We start from the raw sequence: 14,458 nt of genomic DNA, 5'->3' as shown, positions 1-14,458 counted from the left end.
TTTTTTTTTTTTTTTTTTTGAGATGGAGTCTTGCTGTGTCACCCAGGCTGGAGTGTAGTGGCGCGATCTCGGCTCACTGCAAGCTCCGCCTCCCAGGTTCAAGCCATTCTCCTGTCTCAGCCTCCCAAGTAGCTGGGACTACAGGCGCCTGCCACCAGGCCCGGCTAATTTTTTGTATGTTTAGTAGAGATGGGGTTTCACTGTGGGCTCAATCTCTCCTGACCTCATGATCCGCCCGCCTCGGCCTCCCAACTCCACTGAGAATTATATAGCCACATCCCTGAAAGTCAAGTGTCCCTGAGGAAGAGCTGCTATCCCTGGCTCCTTTTCTTTGCTCTTCTTGGTGGCTTCTTTACATAACATGAGTCTTTGGAAATCAATCCCGGATGTCTCAATTTTCTCTGAGTTGAGAAAGAAGGGCCGGAATTTCCAGGTCTGTGGGGACCCCACGCCCCTGATATAGCAGCACCAGAGAACTTGAGACCCTTCTTTTATGAGTCCTTTATTGCTTACTCAGTTATGCCTCATTAGTTACTAAATCTGATGAACAAGGAAGCCAATATTTAAGGCACTGGAGGATATATCACTGGCTGGTGACAAGGTTGTTACGTAACATCAAGGTTCTTGATGTTCACACTTAGTATTCTTTTCCCTGGCTAGATGTGGTGGCTCATGCCTGTAATCCCAACACTTTGGGAGGTGAAGGCAGGGGGATCACTTGAGTTCAGGAGTTTGAGACCAACCTGGGCAACATAGCAAGACACCATCTCTACAAAAAATTTAAAATTAGCCAGACATGGTAGTGCCCATCTGTAGTTCCAGCTACTTGGGAGGCTGAGATGGGAGGATCACTTGAACCCTGATATTCAGGGCTACAGTGAGTTATGATCACACCACTGCACTCCAGCCTGGGCTACAGAGGCTCTGTCTAAATAAATAAATAAGAAAAATAAAACGGTATTCTTTCAATTGAGTCAGCTTGCAATCCTGGCAAGAGAATTTACTGCATTTTATCATGGGGCTCTCTGGCGTAATGGTGAGCACTCGGGACTCTGAATCCAGAGAATTTACTGCATTCATGCACTATTTTCTAATCCAAAAAATTTAGTAAGCAATATTTTCCTCAATATTAACATAATTTTAGGATGCTGAAAGAGTTCATTCAACTGACCAAAACATTAAGCATTAAACTAAAAAGCAAATTTACAAAGAAAAGATAGATTTTATTTTTAAAAATTATTCCTAAAAATGTTCAATTTGGATCTAAGGAGACTTTGAGAATGTAGTGGTGATAAGGATTCTGATTCTGGCTAACATTCCTTGATGATGGATTTCATCTCATCTTCACAGCATCCCCATGAGGTATGTATGTATTATTAGTCCTGTTTATTGATAGATAAATGGAGGTTTATGAACATTAAGTAACTTGGACAAGGTCATGTAGTTAGAGCCAGAGCTATAACCTAGGTCACCTGGCCTGATTCCAAACCTTGTGTTCTCAATTGAGAGGAAATGTGTGGGCCAAACTATTCCAGATTTCTCAGAAAGTCTGCAGTTCACAGCATAGTTTCTTAATTTTTTTTAATGCCAGCACATCTTTTCAACAGACTCTAAAACTAAATTGCAGTGCTGATGTTTTCCAGGAATTAGACAAATCATGAACAAAGTGAGTGTTTCTCTGCAGAGCATTCTGCGAAACACAGGTAAGAGCAGACCTCTCCATGGCAAAGCTTCTCTTTGCCCAAGTAGTTGTAGAGACTGTCTTGTTTGTTATTCCTAGTAGAGAGACCACTTTCCTGCTGAGAGTGATTCGTTCAGAAAATATGTTTGAGAAGGGGTCATGCATGTGAGGAGAACAGCTGTGAACACTCATACAGCTCTTTGTTCCCTCATATTTTCTATATTCAGTTCATAATCCACTTGAGCAGTGGTGCCAGCTGGCAGGTCCAGCAGCTCATTTTTCTTCTCATTTTCAGCAGATCATCTAGTTTCTTCCCTATGGGTTCCTACCCCCATTTCATAGCCACTCACCTATTGATAAACAGGCTCTGCCTAAAGCACATCTCATCTTCCAGTCCATCAGCGCAGGATATGCAATTTTCCCAAACTCCAAATTACTATTGTAGTCCTTGATACAACATACATATTTAAATGGGGACTGTGAACACACACAGAGGATGAAAGGCTGAAGTAATGAGTCCTCGTGCCTGGGTTCTAGTCCATCTGATAGTGGTTTACCCTCTTTGGCCTCTGTTCCCTCATTTATTTTGCAGATTAATTCAGGTTACTAATTCTTATGGGTTTTAAAGGATGCTGAACTCCTAACTCCCAGTCCCTGAGAACATGACCTTATTTAGAAAGATGGACCAGGCACGATGGCTCATGCCTATAATCCCAGCACTTTGGAAGGCCTAGGCGGGTGGATCACTTGAGGTCAGGAGTTCAAGACCAGCCTGACCAACATGGTAAAACCCCATCTCTACTAAAAATACAAAAATTAGCTGGGTGTGGTGGCATGCATCTGTAATCCCTGCTACTCGGGAGGCTGAGGCAGGAGAATCGTTTGAACCCTGGAACCTCTGCAGTGAGCCGTAATGGCACCATTGTGCCCCAGCTTGGGTGACAGAGCGAGACTCTGTCTCAAAAAAAAAAAAGAAAAAAGAAAGAAAGAAAAATAGGGGCTTTACAGATGTTCAAGTTAAAATGAGGTAGGTCATTAGGGTGGGCCCTAAACCATTATGACTTATGTCTAGATTTTTAAAAGGTGGAGAAATTTGTATACAGACAGATACTAGTAAGGGAGAAGGCCATCTACAAGCCAAGGAATTTGTATACAGACAGATACTAGTAATGTCTTCCCCTTACTAGTAGGGAGAAGGCCGTCTACAAGCCAACGAATGCATAAGGCTGGGAGAATCTAGGAGAGAGGCATGGAATGAATTCTCCCTCACAGTCCTCAGAAGTTTCCAACCCACCAGATGCCTCCATTTCAGACTTTCAGCCTCCAGAACTGTTGAGACAATACATTTCTGTTGTTTAAACCACCCAGTTTCCAGTGTTTTGTGATGGCACACTAGCAAATTATTGCAGTAGACAGCTGACTTTGAATTAAGCAAAAGGGAGGTTTTCCCAGGTGGGCACAATCTAATCACATGTGCCATTTAAACTTATTTAAAAGAGTAGCCAAAGAGAAAGTCAGAGCTATTCCAACCATGAGAAGGAGTTGATGAGGCAGTACAGGGGCTCTGAAATGGAGGGGCCCCATGGCAAGTAACAGAGGGAAGCTTCTAAAAGGTAACAGTGATCCAACTGAAGACAAGAAAAGACTAAATCCATCTAACAACTGCAAGAAGCAATTCTGCCAACAACCTGAATGAGCCTGGAAGTGGATTCTTTCCCAGAGCCTCCAGATGTAGGAGGCCAGCCTGACACGGACTCCCTGAGCTAGGGACCCCAGATGAACCTGCAGATTTCTAACCTGTAGAACTATGACATAATAAACACGTGTAGTTTTAAGCCGCTGTCTGGGGTAATTTGTTATGTAGCCATAGAAAATACACCCTAGCTAGCAAGTATTGAGTGCTTTCTTCACCAGTCACTATTCTAAGTGTTTTACATTCAAAGAAAAAAAAAAACCCACAGCTAAGTATTGCCATAGAACTATTGTTGTCTCAAAGCAATAAAGATAAATTTACAGCTGGGAGGGGAGGATATTATGTGACATCTGAAGAACAACAGCCTGCAACAGACAGATGATAAACAGAACACCCTACTAAAGAGAAAGCAGAACCAGTAGAACAGACAGAATGGGAATTCAAAATAAACACAATAAATGTCTTTATAAAAATAAGGAATAATGTCAGGAACATGACGCGTGAACAAGCAATTATGAAGAACCACTTGGAAATATTTTTTAAATGCAATTGTTGAAATACAAACATAGTAAATGGCAAAACACATCATGCCTGATGGGCCAGTAAAAGCCTGGGGCACCATTTTGCAACCCCCTGTGAGAGTTAATTTCCAAGTGCGTAGAAATTACTGTCAGAAGTTTTTGAAAGGCCAAAAAGAGACTAAAAAATATCTTTAGAGGAATATAATCTGAATGTTTAAACAAGATAATCTTTTAAGAATAGAGACTCTTAAAATAGGAATTAAGAAGTACTATATCTAATTTATTCTCCCTCCCCAAATATCCCACTGTATTACTGAGGCTAAATAAGCCTATTATATATGTGAGGAAAATTCAGAGCAAAACTTTTAGCCAGGTCACAAACATGATTTATCTGCACCTTAATTCCTATGTAGACTTACAATTACCTCTCCTCAGGAGCTCGTAAACTTACAATTACCTCTCCTCAGGAGCTCGTAAAGTTAAGAAGAGCAGATAGAATATCAACCAGGCTGAAAGGCTAACCCAGCGGGGGATATTCACAGGCGAATGTTAAGCTTTGGCCAATTTGCAGCCTCTGCTTTCCACCCTTCCTCACAGCTTGTCCCAGGACTAAACCTGAGGGTCAACAGGAGGGATACAGCATCCCTACAGATGGCCTAGCTCCTCCTTGTCCAATTTTCCCCTAGTTGAAGGAGAGTCCAGCCAGGCTCCAGAACAGAGCGCCCTTAGTGCCCTGTCTAGTGCCACAGTGAACTGGACACAGAGGATGGAGAGCAGACATACAACCAAGGTCAAAAGCCAGGAGCTTGTTAGAAAGCAAGCCAGGCTTGTTACAAAGGCAAAGGGGGCTAAGGTACTGTGAACCCAAAATATCTGAGACAGGGCTCAGTAAATTTAGAAAGTTTATTTTACCGCTCTGTGGAGGAGCCAAGATGGCCGAATAGGAACAGCTCTGGTCTACAGCTCCCAGCGTGAGCGACGCAGAAGACGGGTGATTTCTGCATTTCCATCTGAGGTACCGGGTTCATCTCACTAGGGAGTGCCAGACAGTGGGCGCAGGTCAGTGGGTGCGCGCACCGTGCGCGAGCCGAAGCAGGGCGAGGCATTGCCTCACTTGGGAAGCGCAAGGGGTCAGGGAGTTCCCTTTCCGAGTCAAAGAAAGGGGTGACGGATTCACCTGGAAAATCGGGTCACTCCCACCCGAATACTGCGCTTTTCCGACTGGCTTAAAAAACGGCGCACCACGAGATTATATCCCACACCTGGCTCGGAGGGTCCTACGCCCACGGAGTCTCGTTGATTGCTAGCACAGATGTCTGAGATCAAACTGCAAGGCGGCAGCGAGGCTGGGGGAGGGGCGCCCGCCATTGCCCAGGCTTGCTTAGGTAAACAAAGCAGCCGGGCAGCTCGAACTGGGTGGAGCCCACCACAGCTCAAGGAGGCCTGCCTGCCTCTGTAGGCTCCACCTCTGGGGGCAGGGCACAGACAAACAAAAAGACAGCAGTAACCTCTGCAGACTTAAATGTCCCTGTCTGACAGCTTTGAAGAGAGCAGTGGTTCTCCCAGCACGCAGCTGGAGATCTGAGAACGGGCAGACTGCCTCCTCAAGTGGGTCCCTGACCCCTGACACCTGAGCAGCCTAACTGGGAGGCACCCCCCAGCAGGGGAAGACTGACACCTCACACGGCAGGGTATTCCAACAGACTTGCAGCTGAGGGTCCTGTCTGTTAGAAGGAAAACTAACAAACAGAAAGGACATCCACACCAAAAACCCATCTGTACATCACCATCATCAAAGACCAAAAGTAGATAAAACCACAAAGATGGGGGAAAAACAGAACAGAAAAACTGGAAACTCTAAAACGCAGAGCGCCTCTCCTCCTCCAAAGGAATGCAGTTCCTCACCAGCAACGGAACAAAGCTGGATGGAGAATGACTTTGACAAGCTGAGAGAAGAAGGCTTCAGACGATCAAATTACTCTGAGCTACGGGAGGACATTCAAACCAAAGGCAAAGAAGTTGAAAACTTTGAAAAAAATTTAGAAGAATGTATAACTAGAATAACCAATACAGAGAAGTGCTTAAAGGAGCTGATGGAGCTGAAAACCAAGGCTCGAGAACTACGTGAAGAATGCAGAAGCCTCAGGAGCTGATGCGATCAACTGGAAGAAAGGGTATTACCGATGGAAGATGAAATGAATGAAATGAAGCGAGAAGGGAAGTTTAGAGAAAAAAGAATAAAAAGAAATGAGCAAAGCCTCCAAGAAATATGGGACTATGTGAAAAGACCAAATCTACATCTGATTGGTGTACCTGAAAGTGATGGGGAGAATGGAACCAAGTTGGAAAACACTCTGCAGGATATTATCCAGGAGAACTTCCCCAATCTAGCAAGGCAGGCCAACGTTCAGATTCAGGAAATACAGAGAACACCACAAAATACTCCTCGAGAAGAGCAACTCCAAGACACATAATTGTCAGATTCCCCAAAGTTGAAATGAAGGAAAAAATGTTAAGGGCAGCCAGAGAGAAAGGTCGGGTTACCCTCAAAGGGAAACCCATCAGACTAACAGCGGATCTCTTGGTAGAAACCCTACAAGCCAGAAGAGAGTGGGGGCCAATATTCAACATTCTTAAAGAAAAGAATTTTCAACCCAGAATTTCATATCCAGAAAACAAAAAAAGGCAGGGGTTGCAATCCTAGTCTCTGATAAAACAGACTTTAAACCAACAAAGATCAAAAGAGACAAAGAAGGCCATTACATAATGGTAAAAGGATCAATTCAACAAGAAGAGCTAACTATCCTAAATATATATGCACCCAATACAGGAGCACCCAGATTCATAAAGCAAGTCCTGAGTGACCTACAAAGAGACTTAGACTCCCACACATTAATAATGGGAGACTTTAACACCCCACTGTCAACATTAGACAGATCAATGAGACAGAAAGTCAACAAGGATACCCAGGAATTGAACTCAGCTCTGCACCAAGTGGACCTAATAGACATCTATAGAACTCTCCACCCCAAATCAACACAATATACATTTTTTTCAGCACCACACCACACCTATTCCAAAATTGACCACATAGTTGGAAGTAAAGCTCTCCTCAGCAAATGTAAAAGAACAAATTATAACAAACTATCTCTCAGACCACAGTGCAATCAAACTAGAACTCAGGATTAAGAATCTCACTCAAAACCACTCAACTACATGGAAACTGAACAACCTGCTCCTGAATGACTACTGGGTACATAATGAAATGGAGGCAGAAATAAAGATGTTCTTTGAAACCAATGAGAACAAAGACACAACATACCAGAATCTCTGGGACGCATTCAAAGCAGTGTGTAGAGGGAAATTTATAGCACTAAATGCCCACAAGAGAAAGCAGGAAAGATCGAAAATTGACACCCTAACATCACAATTAAAAGAACTAGAAAAGCAAGAGCAAACACATTCAAAAGCTAGCAGAAGGCAAGAAATAACTAAAATCAGAGCAGAACTGAAGGAAATAGAGACACAAAAAACCCTTCAAAAAATTAATGAATCCAGGAGCTGGTTTTTTGAAAGGATCAACAAAATTGATAGACCGCTAGCAAGACTAATAAAGAAAAAAAGAGAGAAGAATCAAATAGACGCAATAAAAAATGATAAAGGGGATATCACCACCGATCCCACAGAAATACAAACTACCATCAGAGAATACTACAAACACCTCTACGCAAATAAACTAGAAAATCTAGAAGAAATGGATAAATTCCTCAACACATACACTCTCCCAAGACTACACCCGGAAGAAGTTGAATCTCTGAATAGACCAATAACAGGATCTGCAATTGTGGCAATAATCAATAGTTTACCAACCAAAAAGAGTCCAGGACCAGATGGATTCACAGCCGAATTCCACCAGAGGTACAAGGAGGAACTGGTACCATTCCTTCTGAAACTATTCCAATCAATAGAAAAAGAAGGAATCCTCCCTAACTCATTTTATGAGGCCAGCATCATTCTGATACCAAAGCCGGGCAGAGACACAACCAAAAAAGAGAATTTTAGACCAATATCCTTGATGAACATTGATGCAAAATTCCTCAATAAAATACTGGCAAAACGAATCCAGCAGCACATCAAAAAGCTTATCCACCATGATCAAGTGGGCTTCATCCCTGGGATGCAAGGCTGGTTCAACATACGCAAACCAATAAATGTAATCCAGCATATAAACAGAGCCAAAGACAAAAACCACATGATTATCTCAATAGATGCAGAAAAGGCCTTTGACAAAATTCAACAACCCTTCATGCTAAAAACTCTCAATAAATTAGGTATTGATGGGACGTATTTCAAAATAATAAGAGCTATCTATGACAAACCCAGGGCCAATATCATACTGAATGGGCAAAAACTGGAAGCATTCCCTTTGAAAACTGGCACAAGACAGGGATGCCCTCTCTCACCACTCCTATTCAACGTAGTGTTGGATGTTCTGGCCAGGGCAATCAGGCAGGAGAAGAAAATAAAGGGTATTCAATTAGGAAAAGAGGAAGTCAAATTGTCCCTGTTTGCAGACGACATGATTGTATATCTAGAAAACCCCATTGTCTCAGCCCAAAATCTCCTTAAGCTGATAAGCAACTTCAGCAAAGTCTCAGGATACAAAATCAATGTACAAAAATCAAAAGCATTCTTATACACCAACAACAGACAAACAGAGAGCCAAATCATGAGTGAACTCCCATTCACAATTGCTTCAAAGAGAATAAAATACCTAGGAATCCAACTTACAAGGGATGTGAAGGACCTCTTCAAGGAGAACTACAAACCACTGCTCAATGAAATAAAAGAGGATACAAACAAATGGAAGAACATTCCATGCTCATGGGTAGGAAGAATCAATATTGTGAAAATGGCCATACTGCCCAAGGTAATTTACAGATTCAATGCCATCCCCATCAAGCTACCAATGACTTTCTTCACAGAATTGGAAAAAACTACTTTAAAGTTCATATGGAACCAAAAAAGAGCCCACATCGCCAAGTCAATCCTAAGCCAAAAGAACAAAGCTGGAGGCATCACACTACCTGACTTCAAACTATACTACAAGGCTACAGTAACCAAAACAGCATGGTACTGGTACCAAAACAGAGATATAGATCAATGGAACAGAACAGAGCCCTCAGAAATAACGCCGCATATCTACAACTATCTGATCTTTGACAAACCTGACAAAAACAAGCAATGGGGAAAGGATTCCCTATTTAATAAATGGTGCTGGGAAAACTGGCTAGCCATATGTAGAAAGCTGAAACTGGATCCCTTCCTTACACCTTATACAAAAATCAATTCAAGATGGATTAAAGACTTAAACGTTATACCTAAAACCATAAAAACCCTAGAAGAAAACCTAGGCAGTACCATTCAGGACATAGGCATGGGCAAGGACTTCATGTCTAAAACACCAAAAGCAATGGCAACAAAAGCCAAAATTGACAAATGGGATCTAATTAAACTAAAGAGCTTCCACACAGCAAAAGAAACTACCATCAGAGTGAACAGGCAACCTACAGAATGGGAGAAAATTTTCGCAACCTACTCATCTGACAAAGGGCTAATGTGCGGAATCTACAATGAACTCAAACAAATTTACAAGAAAAAAACAAACAACCCCATCAAAAAGTGGGTGAAGGACATGAACAGACACTTCTCAAAAGAAGCCATTTATGCAGCCAAAAGACACATGAAAAAATGCTCATCATCACTGGCCATCAGAGAAATCCAAATCAAAACCACAATGAGATACCCTCTCACACCAGTTAGAATGGCAATCATTAAAAAGTCTGGAAACAACAGTTGCTGGAGAGGATGTGGAGAAATAGGAACACTTTTACACTGTTGGTGGGACTGTAAACTAGTTCAACCATTGTGGAAGTCAGTGTGGCAATTCCTCAGGGATCTAGAACTAGAAATACCATTTGACCCTGCCATCCCATTACTGAGTATATACCCAAAGGACTATAAATCATGCTGCTATAAAGACACATGCACACATATGTTTATTGCAGCATTATTCACAATAGCAAAGACTTGGAACCAACCCAAATGTCCAACAATGATAGACTGGATTAAGAAAATGTGGCACATATACACCATGGAATACTATGCAGCCATAAAAAAGGATGAGTTCATGTCCTCTGTAGGGACATGGATGAAATTGGAAATCATCATTCTCAGTAAACTATCGCAAGAACAAAAAACCAAACACCGCATATTCTCACTCATAGGTGGGAATTGAACAATGAGATCACATGGACACAGGAAGGGGAACATCACACTCTGGGGACTGTGGTGGGGTGGGGGGAGGGGGGAGGGATAGCATTGGGAGATATACCTAATGCTAGATGACGAGTTAGTGGGTGCAGCGCACCAGCATGGCACATGTATACATATGTAACTAACCTGCACAATGTGCACATGTACCCTAAAACTTAAAGTATAATAAAAAAAAAAAAAAAGAAAGTTTATTTTACCAAAGTTAAGGACACACCCATTCCACAGCCTCAAGAGGTCCTGATGACATGTGCCCAAGGTGGTTGTGATACAGCTTGCTTTTATACATTTTAGGGAGATGTGAGACATCAATCAATATGCATAAGGTGTACATTGGTTCAGTCAGGTAAGGTGGGACAATTCTAAGTGGATAATGGTGGGGGCCTTCCAGGTCATAGGTAGATAAGAAACAAAAGGCTGTGTTCTTTTGAGTCCTTGATCAGCCTTTCACTGAATACACAATACACAGTGTATTCACTGAATACACTGGCTCAGTGAATCTGCATTTTTACATAAATAGGGCAGAAGAAGCAGTCAGATATGCATTTGCCTCAGGTGAGCAGAGCGATGACAATTTGTACCTGTGAAGATAAGTTGTGAAATTCAACAGAACTGTTTTAGGGTAAAGATCTTGAGGTCTACAGTGAATTTCCTTGTCGGCAAATTGTGAGGGAGGTAACTCATATTTTTAGCTATCTTATTTAGGAATTAAAATGGGAGACAAGTTTGCCTGATGTAGTTCCCAGTTTGACTTTTCCCTTGGCTTAGTGATTTTGGGGTCCCAAGATTTATTTTCCCTTCACAGTACAAAGTCCAAATGCAGGAGATCAATGAATTAGGAAAGCCACAATTAAAGTAACTGGTGAACCAAGTACAAGGTGGACTGGAGAAGTTCCACTGACAAAGGGCACCTATCTGGGACAGCCTTCTCCATAGACTGATGGGGCATTTAGAGCATGAATGAGTGACTTGGAGTTTTGCCCCCGAACTCCAGCTCAGTGGTCTGAACCCTACTACCACTGACAAACTTTTGTGATATTGACTCTCAACCAGACTAGAAATGAAGGGTATTTCTCATTCTTAGATTTTTCCATCAGGACACTCTACAAATTTCATTTAGAAGTCTAGGATCATTTGTCACACTCTTTGGACATCAAGCTCTGTCTGTTGCCACCTGAGTGGTTGGGACTTACCTAGCTCGGGCTATGACTAGACTGCTTCATCCTGTTGCAGTTGAGGGATACATACAAAGAGTCAGAAATGTGACAAAACTTCCAAGAACAGGAGAGGGCATATCACATTTTATAAATCACGACGTCTGTGAGTAAAAGTCTTTGTGTATCATGTTCTGAATATAGACATTCTTGGAATCTCAAAGGTGGTCATTTAGATCAAATCAAAGTAGAGGTGACCTTCAAACAACATGGGTTTGAACTGTGCATGTTCACTTATATGTGGTACCTCTGCCACCCATAAGACAGCAAGAGCAACCCCTCCTCTTCCTCCTACTCAGCCTACTCAACACGAACACGATGAGGATGAAGACCTTTGTGATGATCCACTTCCACTTACTGAATAGAAAGTGTATTTTCTCTTCCTTATGATTTTCTTAATAATATTTTCTTTTCTCTAACTTACTTTATTATAAGAATGCAGTATTTAATACATATACCATATAAAATATGTATTAATTGGCTATGTATATTATCAATAAGGTTTCCAGTCAACAGCAGGCTACTAATAGTTAGGTTTTTGGGAAGTCAAAACTTATACGCAGACTTTTGACGGCACAGGGGTTGGCATCCCTAATCCCCACGTTGTTCAAGGGTCGATTGTACTATTTTTTGCCTAAAGTAGTTATGTAAAAACTACCAGCAAAAATTTTATCCGAGTTGGTGGTCTTGGATCCATTATATAAGAAGACATTCATGAAGGATCTGAGCGAATCCAGGTATGAAAGCTCTATAATAGATTATTAAGAGAAATTAGGGAATATTCTTAGTATTACAATAGGTTGATGTCCTAAAGGACAACTGCATATGGACTTTTCCTTTTTGTGTATGTAACTAACTCCCTCCGTCAGTGCATGTGGACTTTAGTGGACTTTTTGGAAGGAAGGATATATCTCAGCACCCATTTTCCCTTCCTGAGGGCAGCTTTATTTCACGTAGGGGAATTATTTCTCCCAGGGATAAGCAGTCTTGGTGGCACTAAATGTGATCAGGACCTTTGCTGCCTTTCCCCAGCAAAGGAGTGTGTGATTTCATTTGGGACAATAGGAATTTCTCTCCTGGTACTTTGAATTGCCAGCAAGCTGAATTAAGACAAGGAAGACAATTTTTGAGCTTTTCATTCTAAAGAGAAGCCCAGAGAGGATCCTGCTGGCTAGATATCTGGAAGCTGTTCTAAGACTTGTCTTGGTTCTTCAGTTGTCTAATCTCCCATCCACTCTGACAGTTACTACAAAACTCCCGCTGCTTCTTGTTAACTGCAACAAAAAGAATCTCAACTGATATGCCCTCTGCAAAGTAGTATACAGTTAAGGCATGGCTGATGTCTGCTCTTGCACTGACTTGGTTTGTGATTTTGAGAAACTTTATTAGCCTCACTGAGCCTTAGCATCTTTACCTGTAGAATGAGAAACAAAGCCCTCTTTCCAGGTTGTCAATGGAATTAAGTGAATATTTATGTGAAAGCCTCCTAGCTTACCTAGAAAGAAAATCTGCGAATTTCCCTGTCAAAGTGGTTCATTAACAATGAAAAATTAGGCCGGGCGCGGTGGCTCATGTCTGTAATCCCAGCACTTTGGGAGGCCAAGGCGGGTGGATCACGATGTCAGGAGTTCGAGACCAGCTTGGCCAACATGGTGAAACCCTGTCTCTACTAAAAATACAAAAACTAGCTGGGCATAATAGCGCATGCCTGTAATCCCAGCTACTCGGGAGGCTGAGGCAGGAGAATCACTTGAACCAGGGAGTCGGAGGTTGCAGTGAGCCGAGATCGTGCCACTGCACTCCAGCCTGGCAGCAGAGGGAGACTCGGTCTCAAAAACAAAACAGAACAAACAATGAAAAATTGGTAATTTGGCTAAAGGTGCCAAGATGGAATGTCAGGCAATCACTTAAAATCAGAGATTTTGTAAAGAAAGTTATACTTAATAGTCAAAATACATTTCCCCCTTATTACTGTGCTTGGCAGAGGTCAGAATTAGATTTCCATGGGTATATTAATCCTGACAATACTTCTTCTTTGTTGGCAATAAAGGTAACAAAGTTTCCTATATGAATATTTAAGAAAAGGGCTGGGCATGTTGGCTTTGGGAGATGAGGTGGGAGGATTGCTTGAGGTCAGGAGTTTGAAACCAGCCTGGGGAACAGAGTGAGACACTGTCTCTATAAAAATTTTTAAAAATTAGCCAAACATGGTGGTGCATACTTGTAGTCCCAGCTCCTTGGGAGGCTGAGGCAGGAGGATTGCATGAGCCCCGGAGTTCCAGGCTGCAGTGGGCTATGATCACACCACTGCACTCCATCCTGGGTGATACAGTGAGACCCTGTAGAAAGAAGAAAGGAAGGAAAGAAAGAAGGAAGGAAGGGAGGGAGGGAGGAAGGGAGGGAAGGAAGGGAAGAGAAGGGAAAGGAAAGGAAAGGAAAGGAAAGGAAAGGAAAGGAAAGGAAAGGAAAGGAAAGGAAAGGAAAGGAAGGGAAGGGAAGGGAAGGGAAGGGAAGGGAAGGGAAGGGAAGGGAGGAAGGAAGGAAGGAAGGAAGGAAGGAAGGAAGGAAGGAAGGAAGGAAGGAAGCACATCTCTGTTTACAATGCTGCTTTACATAAGTGTTACTTTTCCATCTGAAGTAAGGAATAGACAATACCGGTTTACCAAAAAAATAATTTTTTTTGAGCACTCATATCACACAGAACTGGCCTTTTCCTGGAACAATTAGAATCATACCTGGACGGTTGCACCGTCTCTGGTTTACCAATGCTTTGTTTGGGTTAATATGCTGCAGGAGCTTCAAATCGTACATGAATTCTTGCTATTGACCAGGAAAGTAGGAAAGCAAGTTGGCTTCTTTTGATCACTCTCCTAAAAGTGAGAATTTTAAAATTATGCATTGGTGTAACAGTAAATTTTTAAAACAAAGAACAGTAAAGAGTATCCTATAAAGGGACCCAGCTCTGTGCTAGATAACATAGAGCAGTGGGTCATGGAGCCTGGTTGTGCCCTACCCC

At 42.1% G+C, this 14,458-nt stretch overlaps 2 annotated features.

The window, feature by feature from the left end:
- Positions 3,840 to 4,753: an enhancer, noted in NCBI's record as "OCT4-NANOG-H3K27ac-H3K4me1 hESC enhancer chr4:111332664-111333577 (GRCh37/hg19 assembly coordinates)". NCBI's record gives its function as "activates a minimal SCP1, AML or CMV promoter by ChIP-STARR-seq in naive and primed H9 embryonic stem cells {active_cell/tissue: H9 hESC(naive and primed)}" and the evidence as "EXISTENCE:reporter gene assay evidence [ECO:0000049][PMID:30033119]".
- Positions 4,754 to 5,668: an enhancer, noted in NCBI's record as "OCT4-NANOG-H3K27ac-H3K4me1 hESC enhancer chr4:111331749-111332663 (GRCh37/hg19 assembly coordinates)". NCBI's record gives its function as "activates a minimal SCP1, AML or CMV promoter by ChIP-STARR-seq in primed H9 embryonic stem cells {active_cell/tissue: H9 hESC(primed)}" and the evidence as "EXISTENCE:reporter gene assay evidence [ECO:0000049][PMID:30033119]".

The sequence above is a fragment of the Homo sapiens genome, chromosome 4 (assembly GCF_000001405.40).
Source record: "Homo sapiens chromosome 4, GRCh38.p14 Primary Assembly".
NCBI lineage: Eukaryota > Metazoa > Chordata > Mammalia > Primates > Hominidae > Homo > Homo sapiens.
The sequence above is the reverse complement of the archived record's forward strand: the minus strand, read 5'-3'. Positions and strand labels throughout refer to the sequence as shown.